This window comes from Homo sapiens, chromosome X, assembly GCF_000001405.40.
Source record: "Homo sapiens chromosome X, GRCh38.p14 Primary Assembly".
In the NCBI taxonomy this organism is placed as follows: Eukaryota; Metazoa; Chordata; class Mammalia; order Primates; family Hominidae; genus Homo; species Homo sapiens.
The window spans coordinates 142,536,062-142,557,314 of NC_000023.11; the positions used below are offsets into that span (position 1 = coordinate 142,536,062).

Here is a 21,253-nt window from a genome sequence, read left to right on the forward strand (position 1 = left end):
TCCAATAAATTTTTATCTAAATAATTTTAATGGGATGTATCTTGTCAAGTTGATCAACGACTTCAAGGTTTCAGCTTGTTAGCTTTAGCCTGTCTAGAGCAGCAATAGGGCCAGGCCAACCAAGGCTCTTCTATTTACTTGAGAAACTGAATGACCTCTTGAAAAAGAACTTTTCCACTAGACGGAGAGCTGAGGTTTTCAAACTTTGTCCAGTGTCAGTTTGGGAGAGGAAAGGAAGAGAAGAGGGAATGATTCTAAGAACATCATAATGTCTATCACTCAGATTGTCTTCAAGCTTAGCTCCCAAAGACCTGAGCCCTGGAAGGTAAGGCTCATTGTAATATGTGAGAAAAATAAAACTGATTAAAGAATAACAACCTATTCCACTGAAGTCTATGTAGGATGTGAAGAGCAAAAATCTGTGCTGTTTTGGAGTGTAACATCCAAGTACTAGAGTAAAGCACCTATGAAGTGACTTTGAAATATAGCATATTGCAGATACTGGAGCACAAAGCACATGTAACAGTGTGAGTCAGAACCAGGCCAGTCTGCATCTGGAATGCAAATAAGACATCACTTCTAAGTACTCTGTCATTAGTGCTGTAACTTTAAGGTAGTCTTCAGTTACAGGTGAAACTGCAGTCGTGGGAGCAGGAAAGGACAGAGAAAATGGCAGATGCTACATGGACACCAAGAGAATTAATTGACAAGCACACATCGCATACATCCCTTGAAATTTCCTAGACCTCTTTATAAGGAATTTGAGAAGGAGCAAAAATCACATTGGCTTTGCAATTAACTTAAAATGAAATCTACACTCATTCACTGACTTCCAAGTCTTTGCATGATCTAGCCAGTACTTACCTGTCCAACTTCATCTCATACCACTTGCCTTTCTTTATGTTCCTTGACCACATTAAGCTTGTTGAAACCACGTGCTCTTGAACTCTCAGTTTATATGCCTGGAAATGCTCTTCTGGCCATCTCCTTCTCATTCAAGTCTCATCTTTAATGCCACCTCTACGGAGAGGCCTAAACTAAACACTCTATCTAAAGCCTCATCTTTCTTGGTCCCTCATCCTACAGTTAATCTCTATTATATTTCTAGGCATAATTTTCTCCACAAAGCTTTTATTATTTTAAAGAAATTTTTGGCCTGCCTATTGTTTGCTCCCTTCTTCATACATGTAAACTTCAGAAAGACAAGGGCCATTCTTGGCCTGTTCAAGAAGGCCACCCGGCACCTAGAACAGTGTTTGGCAAAGAGGAGGAGTTCAGTAAATGCTTAAAGAATAATTACTAATAGTTAACACTTAATTGTTTTACGATTAGTTGGTGTATGTTATAACATAAAATATAGGCCAGGTGCGGTGGCTCAAACCTGTAATCCCAACACTTTGGGAAGCTGAGGAGGGGGGGGGGATCACCTGAGGTCAGGAGTTCGAGACCAGCCTGGCCAACATGGTGAAACCCCGTCTCTACTAAAAATACAAAAATTAGCTGGGTGTGGTGGTGCATGCCTGTATTCCCAGCTACTTGGGAGGCTGAGGCAGGAAAATCACTTGAACCTGGGAGGTGGAGGTTGCAGTGAGCCGAGATCATGCCACTCTACTGCAGCCTGGGTGACATAGTGAGACTCCATTTCAAAAAAAAAATATATATATATATATATATGTATATATATATATATATATATATATATATGAAATGTTACTTTATATATTTTACACATATAATTATACATTTGATATGTTATGGGTTACATTTATAATGAGTATCATTGACTAAGAATTAATGCTAAGTGAATGGGCATGAGAGTTTATCTTATATCCGTGATTTCCATTGTGGTGTGGGTGCCTTTGGTCTCACAGTTTATAAAGAACAGTGCTAACTAGCTTCTGCCTAGCTTTCCAGCCAGACTGAACAACAGGCTCCTCTAGTACACATCCTCGAGTCTTTCTCATATACTGTCCCTCTTCATGGAACACTCTCACTTCTCTGTCTCCATGCCCCCTCCGACTGACAAATTTTTAGTCATATTTCACCTTGCTGCTAGATGTCACATTTTGGGAAAATTTGGGTTATACATACAGCGAAAGAGTTCTTGAATGTGCGTCATGCAGATAAAATATTTTGCTCAGATACACAGTCTTTCTCAGTAGGAACTGCATATAGCTCTCCTGCCCGGGTTAACCTCATTTTTTTTTTTTCTTACTATACCTGTGTCCACTTTTCTTGTGAAGGGCATTGTTCTCTTTCTTTCTGACCTGGGTTATCTTACAAAGTCTCATGTGGGTCCCTGTTCTTGAGGTGTCTTTGATTCATTGTCCAGATGTGAGAAAAGAAGGACTTTCCCCAAATACAAAAATGACTGATTTTGATGCTGTTAATAGCATTATTTTATCTCTGATTTCTGTGTTTATCACTTGTGTTTACATCTGCAAACTCTACATATTGCCAATAGGACTGTAAGTGATCGACAGAGGTGGTCCTCTCTCCATTTAATGGAAAGAGAAAAGATTATCCGCCCTCTGGAGGGACCTCTGTCTTCTCTGAAAGTTATGCTTCCAGAGGATCCATGTCGAAATTTGAAACGAATCTTTTCATGTTTTATTTCCTAGTTTTCTTCCTGCAGTGAAAGATGGGATCAAAGGGACACTCTGCCCCAGGAATTGCAGCTGTGACTTAGGGTTCTGTAGATCTGCCACCTTTTGACTATTTTCTTTCCCAGCATTATCACTGCACATGAATTGATCCATTATATAATCCTTGGAGCTAAACAAGTTGGCATGATACCCTTTGATGGAGTAAGAGCCTGATGTGTAATAAAGAGTTGATTGGCCACAACCTGAATTTTTCCACTAAGCCTAGTGACCCACCCACAGTACTTCCTTGAGGAATATCATTATTTTCGGAGACTCTAAGATCTCTAGAGAGTTTTTGGACATTCATTGATAATATTCATGATGATGGTGATAACAATGATGGCAACAATAATAATGCTGATAATTAACATTTATTCCTCACTAAAATGTAAGTGCCAGTAAAGCAAGGATTTTTGAATGCTTGGTTCAGTTATACACCCCAAACGACTAATGTAGTGTCTAGTACATATTAAATAATAAGTATATTTTATATTTTATATATTTAATGAGCATAACATGAAGACTTCATGTATTAATAATGAAATGGTTACTATAGTTAAGCAAATTAACATACAAATGATCTCACATAGTTATTCTGATTTTGTGTGTATGACAAAAGCACTTAAAATCTACTCTTTTAGCAAAAGTAGAGTCCGAAGCAATATTATTATAGTTCTCATGTTGTATATTAGATCTCTAAACTTATTCATCCTATATATCGGCCACATTGTATCCTTCAATCTACATCTCCCCTTTCTCCCCATCTGCCAGCCCTATCCCTGGTAATCACCTTTTTGTCTTTTCCTATCTGGCTTATTTCATTAATCATAATGCCTTCAGGTTCATCTATGTTGTTGCACATGGCAGGGTTTTCTTCTTTTCAAAGCTGAACAATATTGTCCTAAAAAGATAAAGAAAGTGTAAAAGAAACTTTATCTTAAAAAGAGAAACTGTGGTACTGTACATAGCACAGTGTCTTTACCCCTTCATCCTTCGACAGACACTTCAATTGACTTCATAGCTTAGCTATTGTGAAAAATGCTCAGTGAGCAGAGGAGTGCATATATCTTTGTGAGGTGGTAATTTCAATTCCTCTGGGTATATGCTCGGAAAAGGGCTTGCTTAGTCATATGGTAGTCATATTTTTAATTTCTTTCGGACACTCCAAAAAGTTTTGCACAATGGCTGCAACAATCTCTACATTCCTAAAAACAGTGGGCAATGATTTCCTTTTGTTCACATCTTGGTCAACACTTATTATCTCTTGTCTTTTGATAATAGCAATCCTAACAGGTGTCAAGTGATGTCTCATTGTGAGGTTGATAGCAATCCTTCATTTCCCTGATGTTTAGTGATGTTCAGCATCTTTACATATGTCTGTTGGCCATTTTTACATCTTTTTTTAAGAAATGTCTATTGAGGTCCTTTTACACGTTTTTAATTGGATTTTTTTTTTTTGCTATTGAGTTTGTAAAATATATTTTGGCATTAATCCCTTACCAAATATAGAGTTGGCACATTTTTCTCCAATCTGTAGGCTGCCTTTGCATATTGTTGATTGTTTCCTTTCTTGTGCAGATGCTAATAAGTTTGACATAATCCTATTTTTTTTAACTTTTGCTTCCTTAGCTTGAGTTTTTAGTGTGATATCCAATCATTGCCAATGCCACTGTCAAGGAGATTTTCCCCTAGGAATTTTATGGTTTCATATTTTCCATTAGGTTTTTTTAAATCCATTTTAAGTTTACTTTTGTTTGTTTTATAAGTGTCCAAATTCATTCTTTTGCATGTGGAAATTTAGCTGTTTCAGCATCATTTATTGAAGATACTATTCTCTATCGTGTCTTCATAGTGCACTTGTCAAAAATTAGTTGACCATATATATTCCAGTTTATTTCTAAGCACTCATGGTCTGTGTGTCTGTTTTTATGCCAATACTGTACTTTTTTGATTGCTATAGCTATGAAATATTATTTAAAATCAGGAAATATAATGACCGTAGCTTTTTAAAAAAATATGCTTTGATTATTTTGGGTCTTTTATGGTTCTATAACAATTTTAGAAGTATTTTTTTCAATTTTTGTGAAGAATGACATTGGAATGTTGATAGAGATTGCTGAATCTGTATATTGCTTTGGGTAGTATGAATGTTTTAACAATGTTAATTCTTCCAATTCATGCACACAAAATATCTATTCATTTATTTGTGTCATTTTTCAATTTCTTTACTTAATATTTTGTAGTTTTCAGTGTACACATTTTTCACCTTCTTGTTTAAATTTATTCCTAAGTGTTCTTTTAGGGGCTATCATAAATAGAATTGTTTTCTTGATTCAGTTTTTAGATAGATCATTATTGTCAGCACATATTTTTGAATAAATGAATGGGCATGCCCTGTGCTAAATGTCTTAAAAAATTTTCTCTTTTAATCTACAAAAGAACCTCATGAAGTGCTATTTATATCCTCTTTTTACATATAGGAAAACTAAAGCTTAAAGATGTTAAGTAGCTTTTCCAAGATCTTAGAGCTAATAAGTGACAAAATTAGAATTCAGACTTAGGCAATAGAAAGTCACACCTTACACCCTTAACTATTATATTGTCCTGTAGTTATTTGGAGATTGTTTGATATATTTTGTATCAATAAAATGCAAATGATATGGGTAATTCATTTAAAAGAACATTATGGATATAGCTTAAAATGCATATGCGTGAATATGTGTTCTGCAAAATATGGAATTCACGTTCACTAGGAAGGGTGAGTAACCTTGAGGAAAAGTGCCAGAGAAGCTGTATAATCTTGTTTCAGGTTAAATTGGCTGCCTCTCAAGAGTATAAAATATCTTTCTCAGGAAATGCAAATTCTTCCAAATGTTTTGTGTGCACATTCCCTATAAACAGTTTGAATTGTGTTTCTAGTGACCAGCTAAAAGGAATATACTGCGTTAGTAATTAGTTTAGAGCACAAAAGTGTAGTAGTGTTTCTTGTTAAATGCCCCTATATTTTATGGTTTCATAATTATTGTTCAATGTGTATGTTCTCCCATACCTCAGACTTTTAGTCATTATTTTTAATCTGTGAATTGTTTAGATGACTGCTTTATATGAAATTTTCACCCTTGGAGGAGGCTCTTTATGGTAGTGATTGAAAGTATAGGTTTAAAGACCAGAATATGAATCTTGTTTCTTCCTGTTACTACTTGACCTTGACAAGTCATTTCACCTACGTGACTTTCAATTTTCTTATGTACAAAATAGAAAGAAAAAACACAATAATACCTATTGTTCAGAGTTGTGACACTAAAATGACACCAATAGTATGAACTACTTGAAATAGGGTTTGATATATAGTAAGAGGTCACTAACCTTTTCTCCCCAAATGCCCAAGAAAAATGAGCATTTAAGCTTTAACATGGTGTTTTTTAGGTTCATTTTCTTGGAATTTTGTTTTAAAGGCAAATCAGTAGTATCATAATAAAATGTGTATTAGCTCTTGAGCCAGAAGAACAGGATTCAACTCTTGGCTCTACATTTTTAACAACTCTGATTTTGAAGACTTTCAAGCTGGAGCTGATTATCTTAACATTTACATTTTCCTTGCTAAGGCACAAGTAGCATGTTTAAACATATGGTTTAATTTTTTAAGATTTTGAATGTTTATTTATTCCACATGCCTCATGAAAGGGATAAATGTTTTGGGGAACTTGAACCCCACATTTGGTGGTGTGTCTGATGGTGCTCATCCTGGAATCGCTGAGAGTGTTTTCATGTAGGATACAATTTTCAAGAGAACTGTATGAACAAATACTATCATAGGTATCTCTCTTTTTTCTCCTGCAGATATTTAGTTGAGTCTGGAGGAAAATCTATGTAGGCATGGGTGTTTATTAAGAAAGCTATAAACTTAAAAGGATGTCAATTCGATTCTGTGCTCAACTGTTGGTTGCAGTAACTCTGGTAATTAACTGGCATTATCAAAGAGCTACATTCAAAACACAATATAATCTTAAAATTATCGCTGCTCAATATTCACCAGAAAAATCAGCTGAGATAAACAGTCCTCGAGTAGACTTGTTTTGAGGATATATATCCCATCTATTACTCAAAACCTTCTAAAAAGGTGCCATGACTAACTTCAACAATCAAATAATTAATTACCTGGCTCATTTTGTCTGAGAACTGCACAGAACTGTTTTTACTAAGCTTTCCTTGGGGATTTCATCTTATAGGTGGGGAATTAAAAAAAGCAGCTCTTTTAAAATCCTTGTTTCATCTATTGTAAGGATGCTCATTACATTACAAGGTATGATCTGTGGAAAGACCCTTCAGATGAATTCTTATCTGATATCAGTGCCAAGTGCAGTTGTAACACTGAACAAAATTGATCTGGGCACTCTGAACTTTAACACTAGCCAGATTTTCTTTTTTACATTGACTTAGAGGTTAGTTTATCTATCTATCTATCTATCTATCTATCTATCTATCTATCTATCTATCTATCTATCTCTCTCTCTCTCTCTCTCTCTCTCTCTCCATCCATCCATCCATTTAGCTAGGTAGCTGCAAATGCAAGCTTCATGAGGGCAGGGACCTCACCTAACTCCTTTAAGACAGTACTCTCAGCACTCAGCACCTACAACAGTGTTTGACATGAAATAGGCTCTCAATACATTCTTAATGAATAATTAATAATTTTTGGTCCCCGTATCCTGAGTTTCCAACTCCTCAGCTCCCTTGTTTGGATGTGCTGGTTTGAAGACCCCTCTACAATTAATGGAAAGGAATTTAGTAGAAAAGGCAAAGGTTTTGGAATGAGACATACCTGAATTCAAATTTAGGCTGTGCTACTTGTAAGTCTTTACAAGTTATCTATCCTTTCTGAGATTCAGTTTACATATTTGCAAAGTAAATCTGAGGGTGATATCTACCTCAAAGAATTCCTGTGAGGTTTCAATGAGATGAGATATGCAAAGTCTCTAACCCAGTGCCTTGAACGTACAGAGTTGTTGCTGCTCAGTAGATACTAGTTTGTTTTCCTTTTTTTAAATAATAAATCTGTCTCATTTTATGCTCTTATTTTATCTATCAGCAACATACTAGGTAGATTTTTCTCTATAGGCAGGTTCATTTATTTGAGAGTATAGTGAAAGCAATTGTATTGGAGTGTTCATTAAGCAGTGTTTGTTTACATTTAATGTCTGAAAGTAGATTGCAGATGCATGTAAGTATCTCTTGATAGGTAAGAAATTAACTTAAAAAATCTCTGGAGCTCATTAATATGTTGTCTAAGTAATAACAAAGTTTGTTTACATCATCTACATTATCCTCAAATTGTCTGTATGTTGAATGGGTCAAGTGAATGGGATGGAGTCAGTGTCACTTTGCTTAAAGATTTTTAGATTCATTTAAAATACTTCCAGAAATTGAAATTGGGTGACTTTCTATTTAAGAAATATCTACTTTCTGCCTAGAGAATACCCTGTCATAATTTTCAAAGGTGTCATGGGTTGAATTGTGCCCCTCCAAAATTCATATGTTGAATACTTACCCCCAAGTGCCTCTGAATGTGATCTTCTTTGGAGATAGGGTCTTTACAGAGGTAATCATGTTAAAGTGCAGTCAGGATGGTGCACCCTCATCCAATATGACTGTCATCCTTTTAAAAAGTGGGAAGTTAACAGATAGTCATGTACACGTGAGAATACCATGTAAGCATAAAGAGATTATCCACATGCCAATGAGACAGGGATTAGATAGATTCTTTTCTCACAGTCCTCAGAACAAATTAACTCTGTCAACATTTTGGTTTTGGACTTCTAGCTTTCAGAACTGTGACATAATAAACTATTTTTTTGTGGCACTTGGTTATGGTGTCTCCAGAAAACTAATACAATATATTCACCTTCTATTTTCCCTGTGAAATGATTTGTGTTTTCCACAAATGTACAAGGACTTCTAGATTGATTCAAAGTGACTCATTTTGTTGAAAATCCTCTACCGTTTAGTGGCTTTTGTCACCTATCCCAGTGATACTGTCTGTAGTGAATACTGTTGGAATCTTACCCAGATCGTGTTTTCTGGCCAGCGAACCCATTTTTTATCTGCTTTGGGTACTGTCTGATGACAACTCACAGGTGCACCCTTCTCCAGGCTATTGCTCACATCTAACTTGGAGTCTTCATGCCCCAGTGATTAGATAGCATCTGTCCCTAGGACTGACGACAGATTTCAGCAGGGACTAACTGACACAAGGTACAAAAGGCTGCCTCCCTTTCCTCAAGGTGGGACCAACTCCGGTTGAATCTGGTGCTCCAGAGCTTCTCCATGGTACCAGAGGTGGAGCCAGTCTCTAATGGAAATGGCATTTTTCTGAGTTTCCTTCACCCTTTCTCATCCAGTTTTCCTCTCTTCCCTTCTCCTGAGAGCAGCTTTCGCCTCAATAGATAAGTCACTCACATAAGAACACCCACCTCAGGCTTTGCTTCCTGGAAACTAGAGCTCAGGCATAGCATCTACCCAAACGTTTCTGACATTCTGCAAGTGGTCTTTGCAATCTCCTCCAAGTTTCTAGATTGTTAGGTTTTGAGGGCTAGTATTACTTTAGGAAATACAAGATTATTTAGAGTCACTGTGGGGGATAAAATGTGTAAGAAACTTAAATGGCACTGTTGCTCCAGTGCCAACAGCAAAAAAATGGCAATAAAGCAATGTTTGATTATTGAAAAAATATTAAACTGGGAAGTGTAGCTTTCTACTTAAATGCCAAACTCCTGATATATGTTGAAAACAAAGTCTTGTTACTTGCTCTGCTCTACCTTCTGTCTCCATTAGTTCATCACTATTAACTTGCCATTTCTAAAAGCATTTTTAAATGCTTATAAAATGATATTAGCATATTACAGTCTTCTTTCTTTTTATGTTACAGGAGAAATACAATATGTAGTAGTAAGATGAGCGACAGCTCAGCAACATACCTGGAAGATCTCTGTCTTTTTTGATAGGAATCAACCTTGTCACTTTGCTTCACATACTTTCAAAGTTCTTCCAACCTTTAAATTTCAATTATTTCCCAGCTAAGCAATTACCCTCCTTAAGCATTGTTGACAGTTTTCAAATAACTTTGAATGTTTGACAACAGATATAAAATAAATATTATTTGGCATGTTTGTCATATTTTAAGGTATTTGAAAATAAAAATGTGCATGTTTTTCTTGTATTTATGTAATCCTTTTAATTGTTGCTAATACATGGAGTTCACTTGAGTACACGTGTGGTAGACTAGTTTCAAGGTGTCTTCCTAGCCAACAAGCCATCATCACCTCTTAGAGTTGCCACTTGGTCTAGGGTGATGGGCCTTCTGCCACCAAGCTTGCATCATGGGGGTCCAACCTTCAGCCATTGTTGATTAGACGGGGAAGAGCCATCTAACACAAACTGGACTAATTGGATTATCCTCTGATTTTCCAATTTGGATAAAGAAATTCTAATTTGCTATGGACTATTAAATGCAAGGATTGTAAACAATTTGACTCATGTAATGATCATCTCTATCATGCAGAGCAAGCCCCAGTGCTTCTTGAGGCTTCATTGTGTTCTGATGTTACTTTCCATGAAACTCCTGTGAATCCTTATACAGCAAAATATAGTTGTTCCTCTTTTCTGTTTCTCTTTCAGGGTACAAGAAAGGTGATTATAAACATTTACATTTGTAGTTGGGGATGAAAGATTTGAACTGTGCCTACCAGAGGGTCCTGATCTGAAAAGGTGAGAAGTGACTAATGTCAAACTTATATAAAGTGTTTCCCCCACATTTATTTTTTGCTTAACTGCTTTGTGATTTGTGATTTGCAACCTAAAATTCATGCGACGCTTCTTACAAATAAAGTTAAGTCGACAACAACAACGAAAATTACAGAGTAGAAGGCAATTATAAAATATATTAATAATTTTAAAAAGCACAAAACATTAAGCAATATCATCACATCATACAGCATACCTTTTGATTAACCAACCTAAGTCTTTTTGCTTAAACACATCTGTTACAGGAGAGATTGATTTGCAAGGAAGCCTATTTCATTTATAAACAGTTGTAATTGATAGAAAGTTCTTTGACCCTTTTTTCTATTAAACTATGCTCTGATCTCTACAACAAAATCTTTTTGACCTGTTCTGCCCTTTAGATCTATGCAGAAGAAGGATACCATATTGTTGACTTGATCCATTCAGATTTTAGAAGCCAGCTGTCTGTACCCCACAAGTCTCGGGTTTGCATATCCACTATTGCTGCTCATAGCTCAGCATTTCTACACGTTTCACTCTCCTAGACACAGCCATCTGCTTGTACCTGCTTATGCGTATAAAGGTCTATGCCTTAATATTCTTCATCAGTTGAGGAATGAAATCTGAAATAAAGTGAATGTCTGATACTTGTTTATGAGTTGATATATAAAATCACAGCTCTGTCTTAGTGCTTATGTTCCTTTGCTGGGGACAAGTTCATACATATCTCAAATGGTTAATGGGAATGTACAAGGTTTTGCTCATTATTCTAACATCCTCCTTAAATCCACACCACAAATGTGTGTCTACATTTTCATGCATATTTTGTCATACACTCAGACAATTACTGCACTCATTTCACACATGAAAATTGATGTCTTAAAATTAGCCAAGCTATTTGCAAATGTAATCCTTTATGTTTACCCTCCTGGCAGTGAGAAATAATATACTGGATAATATCTTCGTAAGAGGAAAATAATATCTAGATGACATTTCAGTTCCCCTTAAATTATTTGCCAAATTATAGGTATTCATTCTGAAAAATGACTGGGATGGTGTAATTGGTGTATCTTGTTTCTCCCCCAAGGGGAAATGAACAAATCAATATGTCAATGTAGTAGACACAATTGTGGAAACAATTAGGTTTTTTAAAAAAACAAATGATGCCAGTATTGGTTCTCATACTGATCCATCCAAGGTCTTTTATTTATAGAAACCACAGCAGTTTTAATAAGGCGATGGTATAAAATATTGCTCTTCAGTCAAAGAAAAATTATATTTTCAAGTGACACTTTCTATTTATTTTGTGACACTAAATAAAGTGTCCATTGTTCAGTTTGTTTCTAAACTAAGATATGAAAAGCTTTCAGAAATGAAACAGATTCCATTTATTTGTTGTTGTTGTTGTTGTTATTGTTACAAAACAAATTATTTCTTTTGTTGTTGGAGACCTAGACGGTTATTGCTTTCAGAACAGGGATTGGGCCTGTAATCTTTAGTAAGAGAGAAAGACAGAGTAGGCCCAATCCCTGTTGTGAGCTGTGCATGGTACAGAGGAGCCACATAAGTGATGTCTGTTGGCAGGTGGATGAACAAATGAGTAAGTACTGGGTTAGTGCCTTCGAATGAAAGAGAAGATAATACCCAGCATATTTTAAGGGTTGGTGTGAAAATAGTCTTGGTGTCTAAGACAGGAAATCTAATGCCTAGAATGTATTATAAAGCAAAAACCCTGGGAGCTGTGACCAGTAAGAAATTATTGGGTCTGTTAGAAAGCCTGCTCAAAGTAAGCCTTTGTTATCCCTAAAAGAATAAGGATCAGTAAGGAGGGAGCAGTACAGAGTAAAAGAATAATGAGGGTCCAAGGCGGGTCGATCATCAGGTCAGGAATTTGAGACCAGCCTGGTCAACATGGTGAAACCCCGCCTCTACTAAAGATAAAAAAAAAATTAGCCGGGCCTGGTGGCGCGTGCCTGTAATCCCAGCTACTCCAGAGGCTGAGGAAGGAGAATCACTTGAACCCAGGAGGCACAGTGAGCCGAGATCGTGCCATTGCACTCCAGCCTGGGTGACAGGGCGAGACTCCCTCGCAAAAAACAAACAAACAAACAAACAAACAAACGAACAAACAAAAAAACCAATGGGGGTGAAGGGGATGCTATAAACATAGCTTGTAGACTTTAAATATTTGTTAAACAATGATACTTAGTCCACACAAAGTCAAATCATTATTTCGTTAATTAAGTTCTGGCAAATATGCTATAATTTAGTTTAAACAAACTAAAAAGCAATCAAAAAACTAGTCAAATCCAGAAGAAAGTCAAGCATGGGGAAAAGTGTGCAAAGTTTGGGCATGAAAAGTCTCTAATTCTGATACTAGTTCTTATACAGTGTAACTGTTGAACAATTAGTTTTCCCATTCTCAGTCTCCTTTTTCTCATATTTAATCATGTGAATGGGGTTGGTTGATTGCCAAAGACCCTGCCATCTCTGAAATGTCTAGATGCTATATTGTTCATTTGCTAAACACGATTGACTAATACATTGAATTGTTTCTGAATGTAGATATAAGACAGAGAACAGGGCAGTCCAGAATCCAGTGATACCCAAAACACGAATATGTGCTTTTGCATATTATGAGAACACTTTCTGAGAAAGCTAAAGTATCTTATTATGACAAAATTTAAGATGGAGTTCACCCACTTCCTCACTTTCTTTGTGTATAAGTAATTCAATATCATTTTCCAGAAAGCAGTAAAAAGTGGACATGGGTGTGGATTTTTATTTGATATATTGTACAATTGAGAGGTGTAATAGTGACTTGTGATATCTAATATCACAAGATAATAAATGGTTCAAACTTAAATAAACATGAAAACAGTAAAACCCACTTTTGCTTATCAAACTATTCTAAATAAATTTAGATTGTTTTTAGTATTCTAACTTAAGTATTCCTTTTCATTTTCTATTAATTTGATTTCCAGTATGATAAATATGGTCTGTAAGAAAGGCGCAGTTTAGAATGAAAAATTAACATCTCCACCCTCACTTCCTGTAGGGAGAGAAAAGTATTTTAACTACTCATGCCTGGTTAGTAGCAATTAATTGTTTTTTCCCTACTGACTGAGTTGATTTAAGTCTATGATTGTTGATAATGCTGCCAGTGGATTTCTATTCAAGGAAAAGATTTCCTGGAATAAATTTTGTTTAATATAGTTTCTAAGATTTAAAGAGACTTTTCTGCTTAAGTAGCACAGTGTCCAGTGAGGTCTACCAAAGCTTTTTAATTGAATAGTTCAATTAGAAAATAAACAGACATTGTCTTCTGCTTTCAGAAGATACACTTATTAAGGGAATTTTATAATTATTCTGGAAAATGTAGTGTAAGGAACTTCCAGGTAAAAATGGCAAAATGATACTGCATCATAGAAGCTTACCCCCCAATCAAGAAACATAACTAATAAAAGTAGCCATTGGAAATACTAGAGGAAGAACAGTATCAACTAAACAAACAGTAGCTACAACTTTAATCCGTATGTTTATAAAACTGCTTGCCAAATAAGGAAACGAATATTCAACATTCAGTGTCAAGGGCATGCCTTGTAATTCAGCCCTCATTCTGCACCCCAGCTTTGCTGAGTCAGCAAAATTCTAAAACTTCTCCTGAATATTCCAAAATTCTCAGAGAAAAATAGTGGGAAGGTGTCCTTATTTTTTCTTTTCTTTCTTTCTTTTTTCTTTTTTTTTTTTTTTTTGACTATGATATAGTAGAAACAGCTGCCGGGGAAGAAGACACAAAATAGGGAAAATGAAAAACAGAGTTGAGTGGTAGAAACAAAGATTCTGAGACTGTGCACTGACTTAATTGGAGGTATGACTGGAAGATCAAAAATACTCAGTATGAGACTAGAGTATACTTCACAACTATTTAGAGTGAATCTTGTACTTCATATTAAATTTAAAAAAATTCAAAAGTTATGACAAGCCCTGAGATTCTATCCAGGAGCATACCGATTTGTTCTCAGTTGTGTTCTTCACTCTCTCCATGTCCTCATGGTACAGAAAAATGAATAAAAAAACAGAAACTCAGCCCTCAAGTTGGGGATTGAAAAGAACAGCAATGTAGGCCCAGGAAAGGAACAAAAGTCCAGGAAAGGAGTACCTGAAGAGAAGAAATAAATATTCAACCCTAATATTATATCAAACTACAATTCTAGACAGAAGCAATATGAATGAAAAAAGTGAAAAGAAATCACAGGACAACTATATCAACAGACTAGGTGATACAATACCCCCACTCCCACTGCAAAAATAGAAACAAATAAATAAAAAGAATTGAGCTAATTGGGATATTTGCTCTTGTTTGTTTGTTATTGAATCATTTGAATGTTCTTATATATTTCAGGTATTAGTTTCTTATCAGATGTGTCATTTGCAAATATATTCTCCCATTCCGTAGGTTGTTTGCTCTCTCTCTCTCTCTCTCTCTCTCTCTCTCTATATATATATATATGTATATATATATATAAAACTTCTGCACAGCAGACATATATATATATGTACTGTATAACTGTATATATATATATATATGTATATATATATATATATATATGTATATATCTGCTGTGCAGAAGTTTTTCATTTGATGTAATCCCATTTGTCTATTTCTGCTCTTGTTTTCTTTTCTGTACTTTTGTAGTTTAATCCAAAAATTCTTTGCCTAGACCGATGTCATGGAACTTTTTCCTTACGATTTTTTTCTAATAGTTTTGTAGTTTCAGGTCTTACATTTAGGTCCTTAATCCAGTTTGAGTTAAGGGTCCAGTTGATATAAGGGTCTAGTTTCATTCCTCTGCATGTGGATATCTAGTTGTTCTAACACAATTTATTGAAGAGGCTGTACATTCACTGTTGTGTCTACTTTGCACCTTTGTCAAAAATCAGTTGACCATAGATGCATAGGTTTATTTTGGGGCTTTCTATTATGTTCCATTGGCCTATGTGTCTGTTTTTATGCTAGTACCATTCTGTTTTGGTTATTATAGTTCTGCAGTATGTTTTGAAGTTGGGTTGTATTCTATTCAATCATAAAAAGAAATGAAATCATGTTATTTGAAGCAACATTAATGAACATGGGGGATGTTACATTAAGTGAATTAGGCCAAGCACAGAAAGAGAACTATTCCATTATCTCATTCATATGTAAGTTTTAAACATTGTTTTCAAAAGAGTAGCGAGTAGAATGGTTGTTACCAGAGGATAAGGAAGAGAAGGAGGAGAGTGGATGAGGTAAGGTTGATCAATGAGTACAAGGCTACAGTTACATAGGAGGAATGCATTACTTTGTTCTATTGCATAGCAGTATGACTAAAGTTAATAATAATGTATTTTATATTTCAAAATAGCTAGAATAGAGATTCTTGTATGCTTGCATCACAAATAAATGATAAATTTTTAAGGTGATGGATATAATAATTACCCTGCTTTGATCATTACAAAATACATACATGTATCAAAATATTATGTTTTAATCCATAAATATGTACAATTTCCAATTATACATTTACAAAACAGAGTGGAGCTAGAATGTGAAAAACAAAGATCTCAATTTAAATGAAACAAAGTAAGAAATACAAGGAAAATTTTCATAAGCACTTCACAGTTTAGAAAAAAAATAAGAACCTGTATCTAGTAAAAGAAAGCTCAAATATTAGAAGACCAGAAAAGACATAGTTAAGAATAACATAACTTTGGGAGTCGCAGTGGCTCAGGCTGGTTGTCCTGGCACACAGGGAGGTGAGGCCACGTGTTTGAGGCCAACCTGTTCAACATTGACCAAAAAAAAAAAAAGAAGAATAACATAACTTTTATATAGAAAAGCCTTGAGGTAATCTCAGCGAATGCAGATAAAAAGGAAAAATGATTAGAGTGCTAAGAAAGGAGCCAGAAGATATGAAAGGGAGAGACAATATACGGGAATTACACAGAAATATATTTAAGGCAAATTTTTCTGAAAGAAGAAAATCATGTATTCAACAACATTCATTTATCAAATACGTATTACTTATCTACAGTAGGTCTGGCTCTGTTGTAGAGGCTGAGGAATTGTAATAGTGACAAGGAGGTTAGAAGTCCCTGCGCTCATGAAGCTAAACTTCTCCTAAGAAAAAGTACAGTAAACGAGTAAACAAAAAAAAAATAAAATTTTACATATATAAACTAAAACACACAGTGTGTTGCAGAAACTTTTCAAACAAGATGTTTGAATATTTAATCTAGTTCAGTTATTTAATTTATAAGATAAAAATATAATTTTTTAGGCATCCAGGCTAGAAAAGCAAATCATGTGTAAGAAGAAAACATCTGGTTGTTTCCTATGTTTTTCAACACAAATCTCGAGTCCAGAAGATCATGAAAGTGTATTCCTAAATTTTTGAGGGAGAGAATGTGAGAATCAAGAATATTATACCAGAAAACGTATCATTCACATATCAGGCAAACAGGTAGACATTCTCAAAAATGAAAAAAGCTAAGATAATACAGCATCTTCAGAAGCCCTTCTTTAAAATAATCAAGCAAACTCTGTTTGATGAAGAAATCCATAGCTAATTAAGAGATTAATGAAAATAAAGACCTTAGGAATGAAGAAGCTGGAGTATGGGTTCAGTTAGATTTGGATCCACTGAAACAGAACTAATAGTAAAGAAAAATGTGGAAGTTATAATCAGGAAATAAGATGTGCATATTAGAAGTTTTGACACTATGTAAAATTAATGACATCATTCACAAAATTTGGAAAGTGGGGCGCCAGGGAGATAGGATAAAATTTGAAAAAGCTAGCCAGGTGTGGGGGCTCACGCCTGTAATCCCAGCACTTTGGGAGGCTGAGGTGGGCGGATCACGAGGTCAGGAGTTCGAGAGCAGTCTGACCAACACTGTGAAACTCCATCTCTACTAAAAATACAAAAATTAGCCTGGTATGTTGGCATGCGCCTGTAATCCCAGCTACTCTGGAGGCTGAGGCAGGAGAATCGCTTGAACCTGGGAGGCGGAGGCTACAGTGAGCCGAGATCGCACCACTGCACTCTAGCCTGGGTGACAGAGTGAGACTCAGTCTCAAAAAAAAAAAAAAGTGTTAAAAAGCTAATGCTCTAATCTTTCACAGTGAGCAATTAGTACTGTACAAAAATTAAATATTTAATTAAAACTAATGACTCCTATTTCTTCATGTTGTTATAATCTGTTTTATTACTTTTCGAGGGATATTTTAAAAAATACTATCTCTTGTGGTAAAGAAGCATGTATCTGAAGTGAAACATTTCCAAAAGTTTCTTTACCTTTTCATAAATTCAAGTAAAATTGTACTTATGATTTTACTTATAAAATAAAATGCTATTAAATTGTGTGTACACATTTTATTTTATGTGTATACACACATATACATAGTATATAATTTTATGTGTTTCTGTATTTACGTTTCTGTCTGCATATAATGCACAGAAATATGTGTGGAATAATACGTTTGCAAATGCTAATGCTAGTTATTTGTGTAGTGGGATTTGGAGAGATCTTTTTTTTTGTGAGGAAATGTGAGAATTTGTGTTTTTTAATCCTAATGGTGTTAGTACATCATTTTCACAGAAATACTAAATGAATTTGTTTTCTTAAAAATATAGCATGAAATAAATGTGAGAATGGTGTTCTCGTAGTCTAGATATAAAAAAAGTGTAGATATCAAACTTGAGCTCAGGAGGTCCAAATATGAGTTTGATATCTGCCTCTACTGAGCTGTGTGACCATAGGCAATACATCTGAACTCTATAGAAATTAGTCTTCACATTTATAAAGTGGTTTATTCTAGCTCTAACATTACTGTAACTTCAAAGAATTTGCCAGTAGCTCATTTAGCCTAAATTGATCCCCAAAAAAGATCATGAGAGAAGGGTTTTTGTGTAGGTAGGTTATTTTAGGATGTGATGATCCTAGTGTATGGGAAGAGAGTCCAAGGACAGTGCAATGGAAGGGAGGGGAAACTAATAGAGGCATATGATATTAAGTTGGTTACGGCTGTGGGCAACTGGGGTTTCATCCCACCAGGAACCTCTGAATGGCTGTATAGAATACAATTCAGAATTTTTCACCCAAAAGCAGAAAAGAAAACATTTATCCACCAGTTTCAACCCTACATTGGACAAGTGTTACCCTGCTGGTAAGATTGACATTTAAAATATAGGATACACAGTTGAATTTGAATTTCAGATGAAAAACTATTTTTTACAATTTAACAACAAATATTGTATGGGACATACATATACTAAATGTATAAAATTTAAATTAAATGGGCATCGTGTATTTTTATTTGTAAATTCTAGCAAGTCTATACATGAGATATTAACATGCTCATACTTTTGGTTGTGCATGCATGAGTGCACGTATCTTGTCCCATAGCATCAGAAAAACACCACTGCAGAAAGCAAGAGGAACACAGTTCAGTTTCAGGTACAGCTAAGATGAAATGCATTCTGTATGTATGGGTACAAACTGCCTCATTAGCAATGAAAGGTTGGGTCAGGAAGAAATTACACAGGGCACAAGGGTATATATGTGGAGACTGGGCAAATTAATCAATGTGGATGTCTTTTATAATCTGAATATAATAAAATAAAATATGAGGTGATATTATTATTATTATTATCATTGGCTTGCTTTAAAATGTGATTATTTTGGTAGGGATCAGATTATTCAAGTTGTAGGGGGGGTGTATAAATAAGTATAAGCTATTTATATTAAGACAGAATAAAAACAATTTTGCTTTTGGCTTTTAGATAGGAACTTCTAGCATACTTGCTTACTCAATGTCTTTTTTCATGCATAGTTGGTTGGACTATTTGGTCCAAATTGATTTGCTCTTGATAAAGCATAATATTTTTGTGCTTACCAGGAAGTTACTCTAGAATCATATTTTATTTATTTACTATTATTATTATTTTAAGGTAGAATCTCACTGCTGTCGTCCAGGCTGGAGTGCAGTAGCATGATCTCAGCTCACTACATCCCCAACTTCCCAGGCTTAAACTATCTTTCCATCTTAGCCTCCCAAGTAGCTGGGACCACAGACGCACACCTCCACGCCCGGCTAATTCTTCATATTTTTAGCAGAGACGGGGTTTCCCTGTGTTCCCAGTCTGGGCATCATACTTTTTAATTGGATTGATATGGCTGTGAAGAGACTTTGCAGTGTCCCTAGGATTCAGTAGTCTCTCAGTAAATGGTAAAGTCTCTTCCCTATAATTGTTTTTGTTTTTCCTTTTGGCTGTCCACCTTCCAATTAGCATGCTGTTTTTTTAATTGTGCTTACTTAATATCACTTTATTCAGTCTTGGAGAGAATAAATTATTGTCCTTTCCTTATGAATACACAGCCATTGCTGTGCAGTCAATTTTCAGGATGAATCCTAAATTACCTCTGAACTCACTGCATTCTGCCGCTGCATCCATTATTTTCTCAAAGTATATGGCTTACAAATTTCTGTAGAAAAATGCCTTTACTGCCTGGCCTAGGAGGTCATTCTGCCAGGAAAGCTGTCTTTCTCTCAAGTTTATTTTTCCTTAGCAAGGTTTGTGCATAGTTTCTTTATGGACTCTCCACTCTGCCAACCCTTGAGTGCTTTGTCTCTTCTACAGAAGTATGGTTTTCTATCCTTAGGATCTGAAAACCCTCTCTTGTAGCAATGGCTTGCAAGTGGTAGATTTTGCAAGCTATTAGGCTAAGCCATTAGGCAAGTCATTAAGCTAAATTTTGGAGTATAAGAGGCATTAAGATGTAAGAACATTTTTTGTTTGTTTGTTTGTTTTATAATCAGAAAAGTAGCCTCAGTAAGTCGAGCTGAATCAACTATAAATGATGTGTATTTAAAATTCAAATCTAATTTCATAGATAACTTAGAAAATATTCACTGTAGAAGCTAAAAATGTCCAATTATTACAGAGCGTCTGTCCTAAGCCAATAGACTTTGCAACATATATATTGCCAATAAAATGTCTTTTATAGACAGTTACATATTTCTGCATTTATTGTTATTTAATTGTCAATGAATTATGCCCCCCAAAGTAATTTGTTTTAGTGAGAGAGCATTGGCCTCCAGTGCAATAATTATGCCATTTTATCATAAGGAATCTATTTGATACAATTTTTAAACTAGGAAGTCCATTATTTATGTCAGCTTATTACCATATCTTATCAGCTTGGTTTCAGTGGTGAAATTAGGGTATATTTCATAACTAGATGGATGTAAGATTGTAAGAGAAGGCCCATGTGTAACCATATTCTACACTGCCTAGCATCCTGCAATTCATTAGTGCCCATGAATGCATGGGTATCCTGGAAATAAATAGACAGCTATTGTAAAATGACACATTTTATAAATCACTGCAGTATAAACTAGATGAGCACTTTAAAATAGCTCAATAGATATTTGAAGTCCAAATCTGTAATGCCAGCATGGCTTTGTGTCCATGGAACACAGCAGGTTGATATATGGCTGTTCTCCTGGTACAGCACAATATTAGTAACAGGCTTTCAGGGGCATGCCTTGGCTGAATCCCTTACCTTTGTCCCCTACTTGGCTGCTGATTGGAATTGTTCATTGAAAAGTGGGGAAAAATGACATAATCTGCAGCTGACCCTTAGTTGTCTATTTCCTGACATGGCGATGTTTTATCTTTTACCTCTCACCCATTTCATATATATATATTTTTTACTTTCCTCTCTCCTTGACTCCATTCTAAAGTCTCAACTATCAATATTCTTAGTACGTTTGGAAGTTGGAA

At 35.2% G+C, this 21,253-nt stretch overlaps 1 long non-coding RNA gene across 1 annotated transcript in view; it reads left to right on the forward strand.

The window, feature by feature from the left end:
* The first annotated feature begins 10,319 nt into the window (after positions 1-10,319).
* Positions 10,320-21,253, forward strand: part of LOC105373345 (uncharacterized) — a 78,282-nt gene continuing 67,348 nt past the window's right edge. The window contains exon 1 of the long non-coding RNA XR_938605.2: positions 10,320-10,409. This is a non-coding gene — a long non-coding RNA (uncharacterized LOC105373345). The remainder of the gene's footprint in view (positions 10,410-21,253) is intronic.